Source organism: Homo sapiens, chromosome 9, assembly GCF_000001405.40.
Source record: "Homo sapiens chromosome 9, GRCh38.p14 Primary Assembly".
Taxonomy (NCBI): domain Eukaryota; kingdom Metazoa; phylum Chordata; class Mammalia; order Primates; family Hominidae; genus Homo; species Homo sapiens.
This window is the reverse complement of record NC_000009.12, coordinates 78,860,178-78,886,000: the sequence shown is the minus strand read 5'-3', so window position 1 is coordinate 78,886,000 and position 25,823 is coordinate 78,860,178. Positions and strand designations below refer to the sequence as shown.

Below are 25,823 nucleotides of genomic sequence, written 5' to 3'. Positions count from 1 at the left end.
AGAAGAAACTCAATGGAATTATTTAAAATACTAAATATAAGTGCTAAAGTATTGCATAGTTTCACATTCACATAGCCAACTACTCACTAGATAAACTCAAAAATCTTACAGTGTCTAAAACTCAATCTAGCTAAAGCTGAATTAATAATATGTCTCCTCACCACAAACAAAAATTATCTGTCTCAGCGAATGCATCACTTATTTCTTCTTACACTACCTGAAAACCTCAAAATTATATAGACCCAGTGAGTTTCTCATATTCATTTTTTTCATCTCACTGCCATGACCTTTGTGCAGGCCTCATATTCCATTTCTGTAATATTAAAAGAAATTAATAGTGTCCTTTTATGGGCTTAATTGTGTTTCCCCCAAATTCCTACTTTGAAGCCCCAAACCCCTAGTACTTGGAATGTGACTGTATTTGGAATACGGCCTGTAAAGAGGTAATTAAGTTAAAATAAGGTCTTTGAGGTTGGCCCTAATTCAATATGACTGATGTCCTAACAAGGAGATATTAGGACACACAAAGGGACATGTGAGGTCACAGCAAGAAGGGGGGCATGTGTAAGCCAAGGTGAGAGGCCTCAGGAGAAACCAAACCTGCCAACACCTTAGCCTCGAACTTCCAGTCAGAACTGTGAGAAATAAATTTCAGTGTAAGCCACCCAGACTCTGGTATTTTGCTATGGCAGCCCCAGCAAACTAACACATGTTGCAACTATTCTCTTTGGTGCTAGTTTGCCTCCCTCTAGTTTTCCCTCCACAGCACAAAAATAGTGGGGTGTTTGGTTTTGTTTTGTTTTTTTTTCCTGTCTAAACTTCATAACTAGCAGCTCCACATCCAAGCTTAAAACCCTCCAAAGACTCCCAAGTTCTTAGAACAGTGATGTCAAGTTTCATCAGATATGCAAACATCACTTGGTAGTGGTGCCAAGATACCCATGCTCAGAGGATTCAGAGAACACCATTGGACTTGGCAAGAAGAATGCCATAATGATTGACATGCAGGCTGTGCATGCGGATGAAGAATGTGATTGCATGCTTGCTTCCATTGCAATCTCCAGCTAGGGGCTAAAATATCTCCTTAGCTTGGCACACCAACACCTCCACCATCTGACCGTCTGAACCTCTACCACTCTTCTCATGCTTCCAGCTCTTGTACGCTACACTCTCACCCTAGTCACAGGTCTCTAGAATGTTATGTGATTCCGTGGTTCCATACTTCAGTGTCTGTTTCATTTCCTGATGGGAATATCTCTTCTGCATTACTCACCTTTTGTATATCTACTTCTATTTCTAACCCCAATTATGCAATTTTTTAAATAAAAAATATTTAATCACATCCAGCATGGAAAACTACTCTCACATTTTTGCCTTATTGTACTTCATCTACCCCAGCCCCAGAAACACTTTATTGTACTTCGTGTTTACATGGCTACCTTTACCACTAGACAGTGGCCTCCTTAAGATCAGGGATTGGGCCAGGCACAGTGGCTCTCGCCTGTAATCCCAGCACTTTGGGAGGCCGAGGTGGGCAGGTCACGAGGTCAAGAGATCAAGACCAGCCTGACCAACATGGTGAAACCCCGTCTCTACTAAAAATACAAAAATTAGCTGGGCGTGGTGGCGAGCGCCTGTAGTCCCAGCTACTCAGGAGGCTGAGGCAGGGGAATCGCTTGAAACCAGGAGGGAGAGGTTGCAGTGGGCTGAGATTGCTCACTGCACTCCAGCCTGGCAACAGAGCAAGATTCCATCTCAAAAAAAAACAAAAACAAAAAACAAACAAAAAAGATCAGAGAGATCATGTTTTATTCATCTCTATATTCTCATGTGCTCACATAATGTGTAGAGAATACATAAAATGAATGAAAGAATAACTGGATAAATGAACATGTAGCTTTGGGCTAAGTGAGTGAAAGTATTTCTGGTAAATGTCTGGTAAATATCTCCAAAAAATTCTTGTGATACCCATTCAGAAGGGTCTTCACACTTATGAAGTGCAAGAAAAGCTCTATAGATAAGTGGGTTTAATCCACAGCTAGAATACAGAAAATTCAAAATTAGGACTGCCATCCTTTGTCAAGATATACTCAAACGTAGTTGCATTCTTTGATCATAATGAGATGGAAATTTTAGAACCTCAAGAAAAAAGCGACCAATCAAAATGGTTTTTGTTAGTCCTGCATGACAGCTTTCTGCTGAAAGAGAATTCCTTCTAACATCCAAACAAAGTAGGAAATGTAGGCTTACTTTCCTCACTTGACTCTGTATGTGAACAATGAAGGGGCTAGTTTTAGACTAACTTCCTGGCATAACAAGGAGGCTGCTTCAAAAAGGAGAAGATATTCTAAACCATTGTATTACCTCCTCTGGGGCATGAACTGCCACATCCAGCCACGATATTATTACCTCATTTGGGGATCTGGCAAAAAAAAAAAAAAAAAAAAAAAAAAAACAATTTTTTTTTTTTTTTTTTTTTTTTGCAAAATGAGAATTTTCATGGAAGTTTCACCAACATGACATTTTCTTTTCTCTTATTATATTATGTATAATTTATCTTCTTGGAAAGAGGCCCAAATATCTTAGCAAACTTGCTTAATACTCAGTTTGTTATTTTTATATTCTTAAGAAAAATGAAGAGAGATTGTAACATGGTGATGTTAAAAACCTTCCTTGGGCAAACAAATCCTCTGATTTCTTCAAGTTTCACCTCCTAAATACACACACTGAAAGCAGCTACATAAGGTAATAGAGATAATGCTTTGCTATAAAGCTGTGTGTTTCCATTGCCTTCACTCCTATCTTTCTCCTTCCCATTCAAGCAGTGATGTTAGCTTCATATAAGTATTGTCCTCTGAGGGAGGGCAGACACCACCAAGGACCAAAATCCAAGTTCAGTTCTTAAATATATTTCTTAAAACCATAGCAGATAAAGTGTGAAGAGTATACACGTCATCTGGGTAATAGCTGGACTTTACTGAGAAAAAAGGAGGACTGATGGTTTCTCAGAGTTTCCAAAGATGGTATTAAATATCAATAACCAAGCTTAGAATACTGAGCAGACAGTGCACACTAGAAACCATACAGAAGAGTGCACAGTGAATGGAAAAATTATCTCCCCCACCCCAAAAGGTAATAAGTGCTCAACCGGTAGACTTCAAAAGAAAACTTCAGTGGGGAGGCTGAAATAAAGCAACTCGTGCTTGTATTATGAGCCACAGATCAGTTCCTTACCCAAACTCTTCTTAGACCCATAAATCAAAGATGGCGAAATGAGAGAGAAATCCAGTGTGGGTATGAGACATCCCAGAACAGTGGAGTTACTGCTGATTTCCCCAAAGCTTATCTCAGGCAGATTTCATATCTGCGAGCAAATCCCTGAGATGTGCATAGTGCTGGAGGCAACTGAATGTACAGGGAGCAACTTGATAATGACTGAAGCAAGTGTTCCAGCAGATTCTCTTGAAGGGAAAGAAACTCCAGAAAGTCCTTCATACCCCAGAGATGCACAGGACAGTAGCTGAGAATCCTGACCCTCCAGATAAGGGGCTCCGAGGACCATCAACTAGGAAAGTCCTGGGTTTGAACAACAAAATGCAGAGCATATGGGCCTCACAGCCAGAGCCACAGCAGAGTTCAGGCAGATCAAGCCATCCTGCCCTGGAAGCTACTGGGGTCAGAGGCAACCCAAGAAGCAACCAGACCCTACGCTTTCAATGCCCTGTGAGGAAACTGATCATGTCTTGGGACAAAGAAAAATGCTGAAATGGAGGGGCAAGTTTTTAAATTAACTGAACATTTACACAAAAGAGACAGGGGTTTAAAACTAAACAGATAGTGGAAACAGTTTAACTTTCAACAACAGTGTACATGTTGAGAGCAAATATAGACTAGTAGAGAAAATTGCCTTTTTGCACATCTGGGTTGATATTATAAGATTTAAGCAACTATAATATAAAATTCTATACACATAGGCAGTGAGAAAAAACTTTTATGGTCTGAAACAATTTTCATGCTATATGTCATAATAGAAGGTCTTCTAGAATCCATGTATGCCCAACAAAAGCCACTGAAGGGAAGCTTACCAGAGTGCCATCGAGTTCCTTCCCCTAAGGATCAGACTTCCAGACTCAAGGTACACCTTAGTTTTGTTTCTACTATACCTCTGCTCACTGATCCATTTGTGCTATTACGCCTGAAAGTAATCTGGAAACCTAATCAAAAGCCATCATTGTGCTCAGTGCTCTGAACGTCGAGGTAAACAAGGAAACAACAATGTTCTCAAGGACCTCAAAAATTGCCAGCAGCTACACACCCACCAGAATGATACAAAGGCAAAGGAGGGGCATATGAATCTGGTGAGATGTAAAACAACTGGAACTTCATTTAGTGCTGGCAGGGGTGGAAATAACCACCACTCTGGATATCTGTTTGGGAATGTTTACTCAAGATGAACTTTTCCAAACCCTTTGACCCAGCAATTCCACTCCAAAGTATGTACCCACCCAAAATATGTATGTATGTTTCTTCAAATGATCCACACGTGAGTGTTCAAAATAACATTACTCATAGTAGTGAAAAACAGCCTAAGTTCCCATAAAAAAAAAACAAAAACAAAAAAAAACAGCCTAAGTTCCCATAATGAAAAAACATTCAACAGTGAGGATGAATGAATTAAACTGAAATATAATAGTTATGAGTGGACCTTATAAACATGATGTTCAGTCTGGGATGCCAGACTCAAATGAGCACTAATAGTATAATTCCCTATTTGCAAACTGCACAAAAGGCAAAACAAATCTAGAAGACAGGAGAGTGACTAGAGGCTGAAAGGGGTCATGAGAGAGGCATACGGGTTTTACTTCTTGATCTTAGGGCTTTTACTCAGGTGTGTGTTCAGTTTGTAAAAATTCAGTGAGTTGTACATTTATGATAGACATACTTCTCTGTATAATACTTTACATTGTATTATATATTTCACTATATCAACATATATTTTATTATATTCCAGTGAAGTGTTTATAAAAATTAAAATTCCAAAAAACAAATATAAGTTAGTATAGAATCCCAGATCTATTTCCACCACTTATTAATGCAGAAACTGAGTTTGCTTCTCCCTGATATTTCCAAAGCTTCCAACTAAAACTGTCAAAGTTCTCTACAGCCAACCACATGAATATACAAAGGTTCTTGAAAGCAAAAATAGGCAGGAAATGTCAGAATACTCATATTGCGCTTCCTACCTTCCCGTTTTACTGAAAAGAACTTTGAGAACCCCAAACTGAATTTTTCCCTTTCCATCTCACAAGCTCTAAAATCATAGTCTGAAAAAGCATCATTTCAGAGAGAGACAGGCATACCAGCAGGTGCCATTTCTAATTCCTCCTGGCTACCGTCTGCATAGAGTGCTGAGGGATAAAAGCTGTGATGAGAGCATTCTTTCCACAATTTCATATTCATGGAATTTGTTGTTACTTAACTTTTCACAAATCGTTAGGCTGAAGTACCTCTCCATTTTTCCCCCAAATAGTGTCATTTGACCTGGTATCCAGCTTAATACAGCCTCTGCTTTTGAATAGATTTCCTTACAAGTGGCAATCTCTAATAGGGTCATGTCGAGAGGCAACCCGACTGCATACTACCTACTGCACGTTAACGTGATGAAGGTAATTTCAAATGGCATTCAATCAAAAAATCTGAAACTTTTATTAGTGAGGTTGGGGGCTTTCTCTGTTCAGATGAGGCTCATTGCAACTCAACTCCGATATTTTCAACTAAGATTTCAGAGGATGGAATTTTTTAAACTGTGCACGTACTCAATGGTCCACATTGCTTTACAGACCAAATAGTTGGCTGCGCTTTTAGAATATTGACTGCAAATTTCTTTTCTTCATCCAAAGAAATACAGCAGACCACTTGTCATTTAATCATCAATGCAGATGATCTCTGAATATGTGAGATAAATTACATGCTAAACCATGAAGATCAAAACATGTGTCTTGGTGGAAAATAACACTACCCCCTGGAATGCTGTAAAAATATGTGCTCATATTTTGTTACTGCATACCTCCTTTTTTCAGGATAGAACTGCTTGTGTGAGAAATTAGTTGCAGAAAGGGTTTGGAGGACTGGGATGGACCTGCTTGGCGTTTCCAATCTTTTCAAAGTCAAAAAGGATTTTGGGTAGAATCCAGACTTACTTGGAAAATATGCTGAAATAAACAAGCAATGATGCTATGTTTGAAGTAAGGGTGATGATGGCAAATATTTGCCTTCCCTGAGTACAATGAAGTTCAACCAAGCAGCAGTTACGTTTTAAGAAATTCGTGATCCTAAGTAGATTAGACAAAAACAAAAATGCTGTAAAATTGAAATTAGGTTATTATTCAGGCATTTTACAGATCAAGATCCCCTGAGAAGTGTGAGTCATTCTGAATTAAGTAGAGTAAGATCATTTAGATACTGGATTTAGTCTGTTTGTATCTTTACTCTTAAGTGACCTAGCACTGAGCCAGGTTGAGAAGACTTGCTAGAACTCAGGACAAGAATTCAGATTTCCAATGGTCTTGCTTCTACAACATCAATATCTTTTTAAAAATTTATTCTTTATTGATACATAATGGGTGTACATATTTTCAGGGTGTGTGATAATTTTATATATTTATATAATGTGTAAAGATCAAATCAAGGTAATTGAGATACTCATCACCTTAAATATTTATCTTTTCTTTATACTACAAACATTCAGGTACTCCCCTTCAGTTATTTAGAAATGTACAATATATTGCTGTAAACTATAGCCACCCTTCCCAGTATAGGAAGAAAGGATAGTGACATCATACACCCTCAGTACGATTTTAACCCCTGGTGGGTTCCTACTACAGTTTTTATGTTCGCTGAATATTCTGCCAAATGTTGACTCTGTTTTCTTGTGAGCTAAGCCGTGTGGAGCTAAGATGCAGCTCATCTCACCTTTAGACTTTATTCTTCAGACATTCATATATATTTGTCTTCCTAGTTCTTTTTATTATAAAATATTGTTAAAAATTGAGTAACTGGGGGAAAATGTGAAATTTTTTCTTCCATTTTCAACAAACAAAACATTTATCATCATTTTGGTACCTGCCTTATCATTACTTTTCATATGCATGTATAATTTTACATTATAGTAATTACATAAATTATATAAAATTGTATCCAATATGCAGATATATATTTAAGGGCATTTCTAGACTATGCAAAAACATGGAAGCTTAACACTGAAATCTCAACAATGGCCCCTAAATTTTGTAGGCTTGGTATGATAATATACTGGAACCCTTATTCTTTTTTTTTTTCTTTTTTGCTTTTTTTTTTTATTATACTTTAAGTTTTAGGGTACATGTGCATATTGTGCAGGTTAGTTACATATGTATACATGTGCCATGCTGGTGCGCTGCACCCACTAACTGGTCATCTAGCATTAGGTATATCTCCCAATGCTATCCCTCCCACCTCCCCCCACCCCACCACAGTCCCCAGAGTGTGATATTCCCCTTCCTGTGTCCATGAGATCTCACTGTTCAATTCCCACCTATGAGTGAGAATATGCGGTGTTTGGTTTTTTGTTCTTGCGATAGTTTACTGAGAATGATGATTTCCAATTTCATCCATGTCCCTACAAAGGACATGAACTCATCATTTTTTATGGCTGCATAGTATTCCATGGTGTATATGTGCCACATTTTCTTAATCCAGTCTATCATTGTTGGACATTTGGGTTGGTTCCAAGTCTTTGCTATTGTGAATAATGCCGCAATAAACATACGTGTGCATGTGTCTTTATAGCAGCATGATTTATAGTCCTCTGGGTATATACCCAGTAATGGGATGGCTGGGTCAAATGGTATTTCTAGTTCTAGATCCCTGAGGAATCTCCACACTGACTTCCACAATGGTTGAACTAGTTTACAATCCCACCAACAGTGTAAAAGTGTTCCTATTTCTCCACATCCTTTCCAGCACCTGTTGTTTCCTGACTTTTTAATGATTGCCATTCTAACTGGTGTGAGACAGTATCTCATTGTGGTTTTGATTTGCATTTCTCTGGTAGCCAGTGATGATGAGCATTTTTTCATGTGTCTTTTGGCTGCATAAATGTCTTCTTTTGAGAAGTGTCTGTTCATGTCCTTCGCCCACTTTTTGATGGGGTTGTTTGTTTTTTTCTTGTAAATTTGAGTTCATTGTAGATTCTGGATATTAGCCCTTTGTCAGATGAGTAGGTTGCAAAAATTTTCTCCCATTTTGTAGGTTGCCTGTTCACTCTGACGGTAGTTTCTTTTGCTGTGCAGAAGCTCTTTAGATTAATAAGATCCCATTTGTCAATTTTGTCTTTTGTTGCCATTGCTTTTGGTGTTTTGGACATGAAGTCCTTGCCCATGCCTATGTCCTGAATGGTGATGCCTAGGTTTTATTCTAGGGTTTTTATGGTTTTAGGTTTAATGTTTAAGTCTTTAATCCATCTTGAATTGATTTTTGTATAAGATGTAAGGAAGGGATCCAGTTTCAGCTTTCTACATATGGCTAGCCAGTTTTCCCAGCACCATTTATTGAATAGGGAATCCTTTCCCCATTGCTTGTTTTTGTCAGGTTTGTCAAAGATCAGATAGTTGTAGATATGCGGCGTTATTTCTGAGGGCTCTGTTCTGTTCCATTGATGTATATCTCTGTTTTGGTACCAGTACCATGCTGTTTTGGTTACTGTAGCCTTGTAGTATAGTTTGAAGTCAGGTAGTGTGATGCCTCCAGCTTTGTTCTTTTGGCTTAGGATTGCCTTGGCGATGCAGGCTCTTTTTTGGTTCCATATGAATTTTAAAGTAGTTTTTTCCAATTGTGTGAAGAAAGGCATTGGTAGCTTTATGGGGATGGCATTGAATCTGTAAATTACCTTGGGCAGTATGGTCATTTTCACGATATTGATTCTTCCTACCCATAAGCATGGAATGTTCTTCCATTTGTTTGTATCCTCTTTTATTTCCTTAGCAGTGGTTTGTAGTTCTCCTTGAAGAGGTCCTTCACATCCCTTGTAAGTTGGATTCCTAGGTATTTTATTCTCTTTGAAGCAATTGTGAATGGGAGTTCACTCATGATTTGGCTCTCTGTTTGTCTATTATTGGTGTATAAGAATGCTTGTGATTTTTGTACATTGATTTTGTATCCTGAGACTTTGCTGAAGTTGCTTATCAGCTTAAGGAGATTTTGGGCTGAGACAATGGGGTTTTCTGGATATACAATCATGTCATCTGCAAACAGGGACAATTTGACTTCCTCTTTTCCTAATTGAATACCCTTTATTTCCTTCTCCTGCCTAATTGCTCTGGCCAGAACTTCCAACACTATGTTGAATAGGAGTGGTGAGAGAGGGCATCCCTGTCTTGTGCCACTTTTCAAAGGGAATGCTTCCAGTTTTTGCCCATTCAGCATGATATTGGCTGTGGGTTTGTCATAGATAGCTCTTATTATTTCGAAATATGTCCCATCAATACCTTATTTATTGAGAGTTTTTAGCATGAAGGGTTGTTGAATTTTGCCAAAGGCTTTTTCTGCATCTATTGAGATAATCATGTGGTTTTTGTCTTTGGCTCTGTTTATATGCTGGATTACATTTATTGATTTGCGTATGTTGAACCAGCCTTGCATCCCAGGGATGAAGCCCACTTGATCATGGTGGATAAGCTTTTTGATGTGCTGCTAGATTCGTTTTGCCAGTATTTTATTGAGGATTTTTGCATCAATGTTCATCAAGGATATTGGTCTAAAATTCTCTTTTTTGGTTGTGTCTCTGCCCGGCTTTGGTATCAGAATTATGCTGGCCTCATAAAATGAGTTAGGGAGGATTCCCTCTTTTTCTGTTGATTGGAATAGTTTCAGAAGGAATGGTACCAGTTCCTCCATGTACCTCTGATAGAATTCGGCTGTGAATCCATCTGGTCCTGGACTCTTTTTGGTTGGTAAACTATTGATTATTGCCACAATTTCAGCTCCTGTTATTGGTCTATTCAGAGATTCAACTTCTTCCTGGTTTAGTCTTGGGAGAGTGTATGTGTGGAGGAATTTATCCATTTCTTCTAGATTTTCTAGTTTATTTGCATAGAGGTGTTTGTAGTATTCTCTGATGGTAGTTTGTATTTCTATGGGATCGGTGGTGATATCCCCTTTATCATTTTTTATTGTGTCCATTTGATTCTTCTCTCTTTTTTTCTTTATTAGTCTTGCTAGCGGTCTATCACTTTTGTTGATCCTTTCAAAAAACCAGCTCCTGGATTCATTAATTTTTTGAAGGGTTTTTTGTGTCTCTATTTCCTTCAGTTCTGCTCTGATTTTAGTTATTTCTTGCCTTCTGCTAGCTTTTGAATATGTTTGCTCTTGCTTTTCTAGTTCTTTTAATTGTGATGTTAGGGTGTCAATTTTGGATGTTTCCTGCTTTCTCTTGTGGGCATTTAGTGCTATAAATTTCCCTCTACACACTGCTTTGAATGAGTCACAGAGATTCTGGTATGTTGTGTCTTTGTTCTCGTTGGTTTCAAAGAACATCTTTATTTCTGCCTTCATTTCGTTATGTACCCAGTAGTCATTCAGGAGCAGGTTGTTCAGTTTCCATGTAGTTGAGCGGTTTTGAGTGAGATTCTTAATCCTGAGTTCTAGTTTGATTGCACTGTGGTCTGAGAGATAGTTTGTTATAATTTCTGTTCTTTTACATTTGCTGAGGAGAGCTTTACTTCCAACTATGTGGTCAATTTTGGAATAGGTGTGGTGTGGTGCTGAAAAAAATGTATATTCTGTTGATTTGGGGTGGAGAGTTCTGTAGACGTCTATTAGGTCCGCTTGGTGCAGAGCTAAGTTCAATTCCTGGGTATCCTTGTTGACTTTCTGTCTCGTTGATCTGTCTAATGTTGACAGTGGGGTGTTAAAGTCTCCCATTATTAATGTGTGGGAGTCTAAGTCTCTTTGTAGGTCACTCAGGACTTGCTTTATGAATCTGGGTTCTCCTGTATTGGGTGCATATATATTTAGGATAGTTAGCTCTTCTTGTTGAATTGATCCCTTTACCATTATGTAATGGCCTTCTTTGTCTCTTTGGATCTTTGTCAGTTTAAAGTCTGTTTTATCAGAGACTAGGATTGCAACCCCTGCCGTTTTTTGTTTTCCATTTGCTTGGTAGATCTTCCTCCATCCTTTTATTTTGAGCCTATGCGTGTCTCTGCACGTGAGATGGGTTTCCTGAATACAGCACACTGATGGATCTTGACTCTTTATCCAATTTGCCAGTCTGTGTCTTTTAATTGGAGCATTTAGTCCATTTACATTTAAAGTTAATATTGTTATGTGTGAATTTGATCCTGTCATGATGATGTTAGCTGGTTATTTTGCTCGTTAGTTGATGCAGTTTCTTCCTAGTCTCGATGGTCTTTACATTTTGGCATGTGGAACCCTTAATGAGCCTGTAATCATTGGCTTTCAAGCCTTGGTACAAAATATCTCCATGGCCCTTTCTCCCTTAGTTGAATTCAAGAAGCAGATAGACATTTGAAGAAAGCAACTCCAAAAGGCATAGCCTGGCTAAAAAATAGGTGCCAGACAGCTTTTCCCTGTTTGTCCTGCCAATTTTTCTTCTTTACATATAGAGGAATAATACTGGACCAGGAATATTCAGTTTTCCCTTCTGGGGGATTTATTCATTCCTGAGCTCTGAGCACATACTGTTCTGGAATGCCTACTTTGCTGAAAGCAATTCCCTCCCTCTTCCTAACCTACTGTATTTAGCCAGTTTTGCATCACTAATGAAGAAATACCTGAGGCTGGGTAATTTATGAAGAAAAGAGATTTATTTGGTTCACGGTTTTGTAGGTTGTACAAGAAGTATGGCGCCAGCATCTGCTCCTGGTCAGGACCTCAGGAAGCTTTAAATCATGGTGGAAGGGGAAGGGCGAGCAGATGTGTCATATGGTGAGGTGGGAGGAAGCAAGAGAGAGGAGGAGGTGACAAGCTATTTATTTATTTATTTATTTATATTTTATGGTTTTTTTTTAGACAGAGTCTTGCTCTGTCACCCAGGCTGGAGTGCAGTGGTGCCATGTCGGCTCATTGCAACCTCTGCCTCCAAAGTTCAAGACATTCTTGTGCCTCAGCCTCCCGAGTAGCTGGGACTACAGGTGTGTGCCACCACGTCTGGCTAATTTTTTGTATATTCAGTAGAGCCAGGGTTTCACCATGTTGGTCAGGCCGGTCTTGAACTCCTGACCTCAGGTGATCCACCCACCTCCGCCTCCCCAAATGCTGGGATGACAGGCGTGAGCCACCATGCCTGGCCTTAAGCTCTTTTGAACAACCAGCTCTCCCATGAATTAATAGAGTAACAATGCACTCATTACCACAGGGAGAGCACTAAGGGATTCATGAGGGATCTGCCCCCATGGCCTGAACCCCTCCCACTGGGCTCCACCTCCCACATTAGGGGTCAAATTTCAACAAGAGATTTGGAAGAGACAAATATTCAAACCATATCACTACCTTTGATTTTCCCCCTGCAAAGCCCAAAAATCACACACACACAAAAATGGTGAGGGTTCAATAGGGAAGGAATAAAGGAACAAGGAGGCCGGGACAAGAGGTCAGTACTGAGAAAGTCCAGCCTGGAAATTTTTGAGTCTTGGGAAAACTCGCCTTTATATTCAAGAATAAAATTACCCCCATTTATTTAAGTAGGTCTTGCCTTAACGGAAAGGGAGTCTATCTTCTCAAATAAGTGGGCTGAGCCAGCAGCTCATTTCTATCTTGTGTTTTTTAATTGAAAATTATTATTAGTATCACTTGATTTACTTTTACTGTTCATAACCAACATCGTGAAAAAGCTCAAATTTGAACAGTTAATGGAAATAATTAGGAAACGACTTCAGATATTTTTTAAGTTGCTTGCACCCTATTAAGCAAGTAGTAATATTGTGAAATATTGGAGTCTATCACTGTTGTTTGTTTAATAGACCATGCCTCCATTTTGTTTTACTGTTTATGCAGAACATTTTGACTTTCAGAGAGAAGAGATTTTCACAAATGCTATTTAAAATGCTTTGTAAGGAGAGTTTCTTTGGAGCTGCCACACCAAAAGTTTGATTTGGAGAGTCAGTTAAGTATGCCTGGAAGAAACTAAAATAAGTATTGCTGTCACTCCAAGCATGGCAATGGTCTCTAGAGGAAAATCCCTTAAGAAGATGAATTTTAAAATAATTAAGCCAGTTGTGTAATGGAAATAAAAAAAAATTTGCCCAGGGTCAAAATATCTTTTTTTTCCAAAATAATATGTCATGTGTCAAATGACTCTAAGCCTTATTTTTAACATATTTCTTTCTTTTGTCCCCCAGGCTGGAGTGCAATGGTGCTAACTCGGCTCACTGCAACTTCTGCCTCCTGGGTTCAAGCGATTCTCCTGCCTCAGCCTCCCAAGTAGCTGGGATTACAGGCGCCTGCCACCACGCCCGGCTAATCTTTGTATTTTTAGTAGAGACGGGGTTTCACCATGTTGGCCAGGCTGGTCTGGAACTCCTGACCTTGTGATCCACCTGCCTTGGCCCCCCAAAGTGCTGGGATTACAGGTGAGAGGCACTGCGCCCAACCTGCATATATTTTTATATGATGTCTGTTTCAGTGTAAAGACCATGTGAAAGCTCAAAGCACTTGGAAATTTTCTCATTGGATGTCTTCACATATTATTTTGTAAAGCCAAGAAGTAAATAACATGGCTGAGATGATGAAATTTTGAGGTCAATTAATTGTTCCCAGATCTCACAGCAAAATCATAACAGAATTGACTTTGCCTCAAACCTCAGTTTTCTTTTGCCCATCCTGTGTTACCGCTGGGGACCTGCAATAAAATCTTAGGTATTTAAGGTGGGTAGCATTTCTCCTACGTACTAACCAGTGGTGCCCACAATGCTCACCCCATTCTCATGCCTACAATAAAAAAGAACTGACAGTATTATCATCCTATCAGCATAAAAGGATCAAGAAATTTTTTTTCATATTTTACCTCACTGAATCACCAAAAAACTCTATAGTAGGAATTATGATCCCCTTCTTATAAGTGAGCTAACTGAGGGTGAAGTGTAGAATAACCTAATGTGATTAAAAATTACTGGGCAAGAATTCAAATATTTGCCTGATTCAAAACCTGTGCTCCCTCACCAGGCTATGGAAAGAAGCTTATTATCTTCCCTTTGCCAAAGAAATGTTTACAATACTTGCAGAATTACTCACAGGGGATCTCACGCCATATGGAAATTTCCCAGCAAGGTGGTTCCACATTTGCTTCCATGGCCTCAAGCTTTAGGACACATTCACTCTCATTAGGAAGAAAGAGATCTCTGTAAGTTGGTGTGGGGGATTTGTGGGTGCTACTTACAGAACTTATATTCTTCCTCTTCTAAGTGTTCTAAACAATTAATAGGAGGATTAAGATATAACATCATCTTCATTATCTGTTGTTTACATTGCCAAGTGCGAATCCATTATCTATTGTCTTCATTCTTCCTAACAGAACCCCAGTTTTGTTCAGTTATCTATGTCTCCTTTGCTACCAAAATCCATAGTTTCTACATCAACTGGCTTTATGGTCCTCCATTAAGACTTCAGTGCTGTGCAACTATTGAAACTGAAGCCAGTTTTCCACACCAACTTCCACTGAGTATGTTGTTAAGGTGAACTTGCTGCCTTTTTAAGCTTCAGATAAGGCTCCAAATGCCTCTTGGGGCTAAGTGCTGGTTGTGAGCCAAACAGAAATCAGAAATAGAAATGGTTCTCTATGCTACATTCAGACTTTGTGATTATTAGTTGCAATCCAGGATTCAGGAGAAAAGGCCAGGGCACAAGATGGTCAGGATGGGAACGTCTTGATACAGGAGAGGGAACATTATCCCTGGGATGGAGAGAACAGGAGATGCCTTTGAAAAAAAATCACTGGGATTTACCAATATTGAAGGCAGAAGAGCTGTATGGTATAACTGAAAAATACTGTGAAATTAGGCTTCAAATGACCTGAGGCAGAGTCCTAGGTATGCCATTTTCTGGTTGTGCAACTTAGGTACATTACTTTTCCTGACCCTCAGTCTTTGAAAGTGTTAATTAAGATTATCAATATTCAGCAGGATCATGAGACAGCCTAGATGGTCAATCATCTTCCATTCAAGTTCTGTTTTGTCTGTATCCCTTTTATCTCCTATTTTGACACCAGTGACCTTATACTTATGTTCATCATAAGTGTCATCTGGACCAGGGCTTCCATAGATTCATGGGCCACCACCCCCTGGAAGCCCCTGAGCCTGGAAAGTTAGACATGGCAATAACAACCCCACATATACCATTCATGTTCTGTTTTAGCTTATAAAATGCATTCACATACATTCTCATTTGGTCAACATAATAATCCCATGGGACCAGTAGTATTAAGACTTCCATTTTATAGATTATGATAAATTAGACTTAGAACATAGAAGCAATTTTCCCAAAGCCACTAGGCTAGGAAGTGGCAGAACAGGATAAAAATCCAGCCTGTTTGACAAAAATCCTCTGTTCTTCATGGTAGCTTAGAAGTGAAGATCAACATTATGGAACCAGGTTCTGTAGTACATGCTACTGATGCCTTGGTTTGATTTATTGTACCTGGCTGGCATCCCCACTCTCTCTCCTTCTGTGAGGGTTGGCTGCAACAGCTCAAAACCTTGTCCAGGTAACAGGTCTCCACAAAGTAAGCTACCTCCCACTGGAACATACCTGTGAGATTATGTCTTCTACTTCAGGGGCAGTCAACGGCCCACCAGAGATAGATTCTGGGGTACAAATTTCTGCCCCCATGCCTTAAGGTGGGACTACTCTGTACGGTTACTTACATTCCAGAGCTCCTTGTAGGATCAGACTGAGGCTAGACTTTAATTGAACTTCAACTGAATAATTGCCTAATTTATTCCACTTCTTTACCTTTCTTGGCTCACTCCCTCACAGGTCTCTCCTGAGCACACGGCTTCATAAACCAGCTGCACAAGCAACTGCATCTGGGGATCTGCTTCAAGAGAAACTTAACTAAAGCAAGAATGGGCTCTAACTTCAGGATACCTAGGATTCTAACCTCGTTCCATTACTTACCAACGATATGACCTGGGAAAAATTATATACCTGCTGTAAGCCTCAATGTCCTCATTTGAAATACACACATAATAGTAGGATCTCTCTTACAAGGTTGCTGAAAATATAAACAGTGGTTATCAATGGAAAAAGCTTCTCTCAGTGCTTGGCAAATAGGAAGCACTTAATAAGTGTTTTCCGGTATTTTTATGATTATCATCATTACTATAATTCCCAAGGCACCCAAAACCCATGCTAGTCCTCTGGAGACATGATTTCTCCAGCTCAATTCAACTAGGCTGCTGGCTGCTGAGAATAATAGAAGAGCTGCATTTTTAGAGACGGCAGCCAGGAGCTTGTGATAGAATGGGGAGAAACAGAATTCGAATGAGCAGAATCAGGAAGTCTGGATATTTCTGGATGTTTTCTGCTCATTCAAATAAATTTTGTAGACGTTTACAGAGTTCCATGTGCCAGGAACTGTGGTAGGTTCTAGATATCCAAGAGGAAATGTATTTTATTCTTTGCAAGGGGGGTTCATTTTGTGATGTAATAGTAACTCCCTCAAGTATTGGATACATAAAAGTATAAATGCTGGTTGTTAAATTATGACACACTGGAAATTCTCAGGTAAGTTTCTAGGAAGTGAAATAAATAGGCTTGGGGATACATCTAGTTGTAATATAATTAAGTTAGTTATATAAGCTTTTAATGGATTATATTTTTGTAAGTACCAATACTTGTAAAATTTTTGCTTTTAGCAAATTAGGTACCATTTGAATACACTGGCTGATGCTTAATAAGAATTAGAACTACATTTTGCTTGTTGTGTAAGTAAATATCACGTTACATGCTTGTTTAATGTTTGTGAAAACCATTCCAAACAATCTCTTTAGAATAAGAGTCTAATTACACATTTATCATTAAAATTACAGTGAGCTAATTGCCTTGGAGATATCTTTATCTCTCTTACAGCTTGCTTAATCCTAATGCATGTTTTAAATAATCATTTGTTATTTAATTAACTAATTAACAAACAATAACTGTCCTATGGAAAATCCTAAATTAAACACTTGAGACTTTTTAATTGAATGCTCAATAACCCAATATGGCACTTAATATTAGACCTTTTAAATATTGCAAAGATTCTATTGAATCACATATTAGTTTGCTCCTGTTATCTTTGGGGCTTAATTGGTAGAAACATAAACGGGCAGTTGATAATACACAAGGGGTAGCCAGCAAAGCAAGGCTCTCATGAAATAGAAAATATCCATTAATGGCTGCCAAGCAGCAAAGTGGGCCAGCCATACTGGCCAGCAACAAAGGCAGGCCATTCATTTAGGATACTCATGTCCTTGCCCCATGACATTAAAAAGCACAGTTTTAAAGATAAACACAAATAGGCCCAAAAGTCCATAGTCTGTGACGCAAAGCTGCTTTGAGCACACCTGGAGGATGGTATTTCCTCCTATGGTAATAGCAGTGGTAGATGGACTCAAGAGTATTCCTTTGTATCATATCCCCCCAGAATGATTGTTTTCCAAGTCTCCAGTCTAGCCCCCTCCATTTCAACTTTGAAAATGCTGCTAGAAAGAATTTCCTAAAAAGCGGATCTAATTATCAACTTCTTGTTATCACTTTCCCGTCACTTTCCAAGGGTTGCTTTCTAACCTCTTTGGTGTTTGCAGCTTACCATATTCTGAGCCCTGGTTTCCTAATGATTTCCTGACATCTCCAGCCATTTCTCCCTGTACCTTTTATTCCATTAGTGTCATTACCTTAAGTTTTCATGCTCATCTATTTTGTATATTACGTGCTCCTCTCTCTGGCTGTCCTACTTTTTTTTCATGGGTATATTCTTCAAAGAATTCTCTGCTCTTGAAACCAGGAGTCAGACGTACCGCCATCTTTTTCTATGTTTCCTTAATTATCTCCATTATATAGTATGTACTAAATTGTATTATAATTTTTTATATGTCTATCTCCCAGTTTAGACTATGGATATTAGAATTTACTTTCTCCTATCTTCAGTTTTTACATATGTAAAGTGGGTGGAATAATTGTACTTCACTGATAAGATTATTGAGACTTATATGGCATACTGCATATAAAATGCCAATAACAATGCCTGACATATGGTAAATTCTAAATCATTGTGAGTTTACTTTAATGTTCTTACGTATTCTATTTAATATTGTATTTCTTGTGTCCAATACAGTTTATGGCCATTGTATACATATGCACTAAGTAAATGTTACTAAATGGCTGGCTGCATGAGTGACTGCATGAATAAATAACTGTATGAATAGCTTGAAGCAGAAAGAGAAAGTCTTCAGGGTAATATGGAAGTTTTTATGTATTTATAAAATTATGTCCTGTAGCAAAGGGATCAGAATGTTTCCATGAGACTGTAGAGGGAGATCCCTGACCATAAAGTAAATCAATAGAGAAAAGGAGGTTGGTTCAATAAAATTTTCTAAAAATTGGTATATATTCAAAATAGAGTGGGCTTTCTATGAGTTTCCTTTATTTTGTGTGTTCAAGCAGAGACTGAACAATAAAATTGTTGAGGTGCTATAGAGCTTTAGGGCTGGATTATGTAACATCAAATGCTCTTTTATCTTTAATCAGTATATGACTCTATTTAGAGTTTTTAGATACTATATATATATATATATATATATATATATTTTTTTTTTTTTTTTTTTTTTTTTTTTTGAGACAGAGTCTTGCTCTGTCTCGCAGGCTGGAGCGCCATGCCGCAATCTCGGCTCATTGCAACCTCTACCTCCTGGGTTACATATTTTACAATAGTGCATGTTTTCACTGTTCTATTGGATATAGAATTTTTTCATCCATCCTCTACTCTGTTCAATGTTTAAACATATTAAAACATTGCTAACATTCCAAAGAACCTCTTTTTAAATTTGCTCAGTGACTCATTTCAATGAGTAATAGCTACAGTGACACCAGACTTATGCCTTCCTTGCGTGCTCTGTAGATAAGAAATTCCTGGGAAGAGTCTGAGCTTCTTGGCTTTGTAAAGCAAGCGACAGAAATGATGCATTCCAAGACATTGCCTTTGAGCCCATCTTTTCCCTTGCAAAATATTTCCAATGACTGTTTTCAAGTTTTAATATTGAAGTTTGCATTACTGGGCAATTTTTGATATTGCAGTTTGCATCATTGGGCATTTTTTTTTACCCAGCAAGTGAAATTCAAAATCTCCCAAGTTTGGTACAGTAATAATTTGAAGCAACTGCTCTAACTTTATGCTGAATTATTGACTAATAGGTTAGAAAATCTTATCAGTTGGAAATGTCATGCTTGGAAAGTGATGTACAGAGTAAGTTAAGTAAGTGAAAATCATCCACCCCCACCTTGAAAGCTTTAGGGGAGATAGAGTTCTGAGAAAGGCTGTTCATATAGGGCTTTCTCCAGGCAGCACCATGTCCTAATCTGACATTCTCTACTTTGTATTACTTATCACTACCTACAAGATAAATGCTAAAGTCATCACCTTTCAGAAGAAGCAGTAGTTTCCCTCCCTCCCAATAGCTCAACACTTATTTATAAAAATAAAAGCCCTGGAGACAGTCTGAACTTATTTCAAATTAATATTATACAGCAAAGTTTTACTGCAACTGTTCATAATTTACCTGTCAGAGATTGTGAAAGACATCATTATAATTCCAATCAAAGAATTTTCTTTTGCTTGTGTGTAGAATGATTTCTTCTAGTTTCAATAATGTTTTTGTTAAATCACACAGGGTGAGAAATAATAATAGGATATCGCTTAATTGAATATGTCACCATGACAGGAGGCACAATACTCCATTTTAAACACAACAGTTGCTTGCTGGCTACCAAGTTGGATTGATTGCCCTCATTATGTACATAGCCTGCATTTCCCTTTGCCTGCTCCACCCTCTCCAGCGCCCAGCTCCACTGAGCTGTTGAAATCCTGTATTTCAAATTAGCTGTGAACTTGCTCTTCTTAAGCATTGCTGCATTTGCATTGTGTTGGTACTATTTCAAATGCTGAGAGATTGGACAAAGTTCTGAACATTTACATTGAAAGCTATTTTTTAAATAATTTAGCATAAGAATCACAGCCTTTTCACCAAGGTAGCAATTAAGTCATCACCACTACTGGCCCTATAAAAATTGATTAGGGCTGTTTTTATCACCCATACTTTCTCAACTGCTTTCCTCTACAATCTGACACCCAAGTCAGAAATCACACAGGGAAAACTAGTACCAGGAAAAGAGAGAAAAGGTCATTAAATAAAACTTGTATTACGCTAATATTAACCCTGCAGAAAATGACCAGGCAGGTAATGTTTCAGGTACCCATGTAATTATCATTGCTGAAGACATTTGTCCAATCAAACATATTTTTCCTATTCAACTGGGAAAAATATACCAACTTGTACTTCAGAGATATCTCATATTTCAGGACAGCTCAGGTGGGAAAACCTTTCCTTGCCTGTTTTAAAAAATACTTAATTTACTTACGAGTAATATTTATACATATAGCATTTCTGACATGTCACGTCTCCCATCTCCCAATTATCTGTCCTTCTTTCTCTTGCATGGATGTCTCCATCCTATGATTTAACAAACTTCTACTGTAAATCCTGCTTATTATCCTGGCAGGTGTTTTGCTCTTCATAGTCCATGACTTCAACTCTCCATTTTTTAAGCTAAGTTCTATGGCTTGCAGGCAGCAGTCAGCAAAGAACATCAGCTGAGGCAGGCCTAGAACTTGGTCCTCATGCTTGGGTAACTTGCAGACATAGCTCCAACTCCGGCCTGACATTTACAAACAATTTCCTTGCAGTGTTGGTGCAGTTATGGGAGGGCTGGGTTCTACTTGCAGAGTGTTTAGGATTGTTAATGGCTTGCATTTTGCCACTGAATAAAATTAGACTGTCCCATTGCTTGAGAATACTTCTTTTTTTTTATTTTTATTTTTAAGCTAATATATTTTTTTTATAGTTTAAGTTCTAGGGTACATGTGCACATTGTGCAGGTTAGTTACATATGTATATATGTGCCATGCTGGTGCTCTGCACCCACTAACTCGTCATCTAGCATTAGGTATATCTCCCAATGCTATCCCTCCCACCTCCCCCCACCCCACCACAGTCCCCAGAGTGTGATATTCCCCTTCCTGTGTCCATGTGATCTCATTGTTCAATTCCCACCTATGAGTGAGAATATGCGGTGTTTGGTTTTTTGTTCTTGCGATAGTTTACTGAGAATGATGATTTCCAATTTCATCCATGTCCCTACAAAGGACATGAACTCATCATTTTTTATGGCTGCATAGTATTCCATGGTGTATATGTGCCACATATTCTTAATCCAGTCTATCATTGTTGGACATTTGGGTTGGTTCCAAGTCTTTGCTATTGTGAATAGTGCCGCAATAAACATACGTGTGCATGTGTCTTTATAGCAGCATGATTTATAGTCCTTTGGGTATATACCCAGTAATGGGATGGCTGGGTCAAATGGTATTTCTAGTTCTAGATCCCTGAGGAATCGCCACATTGACTTCCACAATGGTTGAACTAGTTTACAGTCCCACCAACGGATAGCAGCTATCACTTGGCTGGACAGCAATCATTCATATAGAATCACTGTAGTTGTTTTATTTATATTGTATATTTTAATCCTTATTACAACCTTGCAAAGTACATATTGTTAACCTCATTTTTCAGATTGGGAAACTGAGACTCAGAGATGAAAGATCATTTTCCCAAATACTCTAAAGCAGGAGGAAATGACCTTTAATCTACAACTGCACAACTCAGCGCTTCTCAAAATATAATGAGCATAGGAATCAGCTGGAGATTTTGCTGAAAGGCAGATTTTGAAAGTCTGGGGCGAGGCCTGAGATTTTGCATTCCCCAGTGATGTCTTGCTGCTGGTCCCTAGACCACACTTTGCTTAGCAAGGGTATAGGTTAGCTTTTATTAATAAAGGAAAACCTCTAGTGATGAATACCAGAAGAACGGTGAAGGGATGCCATGCATTGGCCCAGTGGACACGTAAAATCTTGAATCTCTGTTGCCAAACAAGGTACAGGTGGGTTGTGCTGGGAATCATGCCAGCCTCCCTGTCCGACAGACATTTTGCTCTCTGCCAGCAAGTTCCTTGGCTGAAATGGGAGATGCACATTTTTCTGGCCAGAATTTGAGATTTGTTCTCTTTATTTTTGTCCCCGGGAATGCCTTACAAGTCCCTTTTCTGCTTACAGATAACACAATATTTTAAAGTTAGTTATTATATAAAGAAGCTATAACAGAGAAAGTACTGTCCTTGAAGTCAAAAGACCTAGGTCTCCCTCTCATTTATGACATTTTCTAACTGTGCAATACATACTTGCACCAAACCTCTCTGGAATCAGTTTCTTCATTTGTAAAGTTGGAGTGAGAAACCTTATTTCATTTAGTGGTAGGTTTGTGGATACTTTTTACATTATTAAAAATTAATTAATTAAATAAAAGTGTGCCACGTGGACAAAACCACTTGGGGAAACATTTTGACAGTATCTATGGGCCAGGTACGGTGGCTCACTCCTGCATTCCCAGCACTTTAGGAGGCCAAGGCGGGTGGATCACCTGAGGTCAGGAGTTCAAGACCAGCCTGGCCAACATGGTGAAATTCTGTCTCTACTGAAAATACAAAAATTAGCCAGGGGTAGTGGCAGGTGCCTGTAATCCCAGCTACTTGGGAAGCTGAGGCAGGAGAATCACTTGAACCCAGGAGGCAGAGGTTGCAGCGAGCCGAGATGGCGCCACTGCACTCCAGCCTGGGTAACAGACTGAGACTCTGCCTCAAAAAAAAAAAAAAAAAAAAGAGACAGTAGCTATGAAAGCTAAACCTGTGCCTCATGCCATATGCCCCAAGAACTCCACCCCTGTGTATATTCTTAAGAAAAAATGAGTGCTTATCATGTTCAAGAACCTCCACAGATGCTTCATTCACAGTAGCCAAAACAATGGAAACAACCCAACGCCCACCAGTATCCAAATGTTACCACACAGCAGTAAAATAAAACACACCCCCGCTCCATGCAATGACTTGGATTGTGCACATAAGTTAAGCAAAGAAAAAGCCTGGCTCGTAAGAGTATTTACTATATAATTCAATTTATACAAAGTTTAATTGTATACAAACATTAATTCACAATTAAACTTTGTATACAATTATACAAAGTTTGATTATATAATAAACAATTATACAAATTATACATATTAATTAAACAATTATACAAAGTTTAATTCACAATTTAATTGTATACAAAGTTTAATTCACAAAAAATGTGAATTGTATGCACATAAGTTAAGCAAAAAAAAAGCCTGGCTCAAAAGAGTATGTACTATATAATTCAATTTATACAAAGTTTAAGAAAACTTGAGACTAATGTGTGTTGACAGAAGTCAGAACAGTGGTTATTCCTGAGTATTGATGGAGAAAGGCATGAAGGAACGTTATGAGGTGTTTAGAAACATTCTGCACCTTGATCTGTATGGTGGTTCTAAGAGTGTATACATATATAAAGTTAATCAAGTCTACACTTATGATTTGTACACGTTAGTGGTGTACCAAGGGCAGGGCCTAGACCTAGGCAATATGGGACCCAGGTAATAAGACCAGCCAAAAGTCAAGTCTTCTTTTTATTAATCACCATGTCTTTGTAATTCCAAACAATGCCAGTGATACAATGCGTCCTACTGAAGCCCAGACATTTCCCTCTGCCCTGTTTTAGGCACATCACTGGGGCAATTTACTGTAGGCATGCGGCTTTAACAACAACAAAATGTAAAAAGAGAAGTCACCTATGGATGGATTAAAAATTACGGTGTGTCAGGAGCCCAGGATCACGATTTCTCTAGTTTTGTGCATGTGAAGTACAACTGAGAAACAAAATAAATAAAATATTACTAACTTAAGGAGTTATGATCATTGGAAGACATACTGTATGTATTTTAAATAGTAAACTGCTTATAGATTTTTTGAAAACCAGGAGATTAAAGCTATACTGGTATTTTACAAAGGTCTCCTATACCAATCATTTTCTCTCTTTTTTTAATTATAGACACGATGAGCATACTTGGAAAGGAGTAGGTCAGGTAAAAGTCTCCATCAGAATGCCCCACTTTATTTATGTATGGAGTCTCATTTGAGGAATAAGTCATGGGCCCCCTCCCTAAATAACTTATCTTTGTTGTATTAACAATTTATATAGATGTGGACAGAGAGAGAATCAGGTGATTTTTGGGGAGGAAGGTAGATTGATTTCTGGGATGCTATTGGCAGACTGTCAATACAAGCAGATTCATATTGAGTGCTTATCATAAGTGTGAATTAACTCAAGCCTTGCATAAACCCCTTAAGGCAGGGACCATTATTTGCCCATTTTACAGTTGAGGAAACTGAGACACAAAGAGGTAAAGAAGCTGTAACTTTCCCAAGGCCACATAGCTAGCAAGTGCTATAGGCAAGGTTTGAACCCAAGCAGTCTGACTCCAGAATCTCTCTTGCTTCACCATTAGGTGTCTCCAAAGTCTTCAGGCAGAGGCAACAACCACCAGGCAAACTTGAAGAGTTCTTGAACTACTTTTGAGGTTCCTCCTCAATTTCACAGATATACCCTCCTCAGACTCCAGCCCCCAGTATCTAATGCCTGGAGCCTGAGTAGCAGGATGGGATTAAGTGACTTCTTGACTTGTGAACAAGATAAATGGAAGGTTCTGTTCAGAGGCTCTCAACTATTTTGTACTTGCAAAATATTAAACATGTTGTTAGCATATGTGAAATGATTCATTTGCACATGGTTCACCTTCAGGTTGGGCCTCTCATTTCCTGAATTGGCTGTCAGCCACCCAGGACAGAGTTTAACAAGAGAAGCCAACCCTCAGGGTGAGGAGGAGCAGGGACTTTGGTGAGAATGCTGGGTTCAAATCTGGGCTTCTGTAGTTATCTGCTATATGATCTCACAGAAGTAACCTAATCTCTCTGTTCTTCAATTTCCACATCAGCAAAACATACTTAATTATAACACCTTCCCCGTGGGAATACTGGAATTAATTAATTAATGTTTGTAAAGCATTTAGATAAATGCCTGGTACATGGTAAGCAATATTTTTTTAATGTTGTAATATATGTACCATCTTCTTTGGTATCAGCTTGATATGATGCTATTCATTTATTACTCTTGATCAATTATATCCCACCTCACAGAATCCATAATGTAAAGACAATCTATTCAACTCAACATTTTCCCCTGGCAGAACAGACATCATAGCAATGGTATTAAAACTCCGAGGGAGGGGAAAATAATTTTATATATTTATCAAAATTCCATAGCAAACCATAAAGTTTGAGATGCCAGCTGAGCTGGACACAGACCGACAAGTCCACAGTGGAGTATTTAGGGGAGATAATTCTGATAAGTCCCACAAGGTTTCTCCTGTACTAATATCTGGCTGGACTGTTTGATGCCTCATTTACATTTGATTTCAGCTGTCACAATTTCCCTCTAGACATGCCATGCCATTTCTACTTTACCCAAGCCACACCCCCAATGCATTCATGCATGCTCAGTCTCTCTCACTCCACTTAGCCTCCACATCCAACTGAGCACATGGGTTCAC

The 25,823-nt window shown here is 38.6% G+C and overlaps 1 long non-coding RNA gene across 3 annotated transcripts, besides 1 other annotated feature; it reads left to right on the top strand.

Moving 5' to 3' along the window:
* The first annotated feature begins 3,957 nt into the window (after window positions 1–3,957).
* On the top strand, window positions 3,958–24,979 carry LOC105376097 (uncharacterized). 3 transcript variants are annotated; one of them, XR_929975.3, is made up of 4 exons: window positions 3,958–4,135; window positions 5,531–5,666; window positions 16,030–16,205; window positions 24,723–24,979. It is a non-coding gene; the product is annotated as an uncharacterized LOC105376097 (long non-coding RNA). The 3 variants fall into 3 exon arrangements; XR_929977.3 differs by lacking the exon at window positions 24,723–24,979 and adding an exon at window positions 24,266–24,300; XR_929976.3 differs by lacking the exon at window positions 24,723–24,979 and adding an exon at window positions 23,936–24,119.
* Window positions 13,557–14,756: an enhancer, noted in NCBI's record as "P300/CBP strongly-dependent group 1 enhancer chr9:81486161-81487360 (GRCh37/hg19 assembly coordinates)". NCBI's record gives its function as "activates an origin of replication core promoter dependent on BRD2, BRD4, P300/CBP, MED14 and CDK7 cofactors, with strong dependence on P300/CBP, by STARR-seq in HCT116 cells {active_cell/tissue: HCT116}" and the evidence as "EXISTENCE:reporter gene assay evidence [ECO:0000049][PMID:35650434]".
* Window positions 24,980–25,823: the final 844 nt, after the last annotated feature.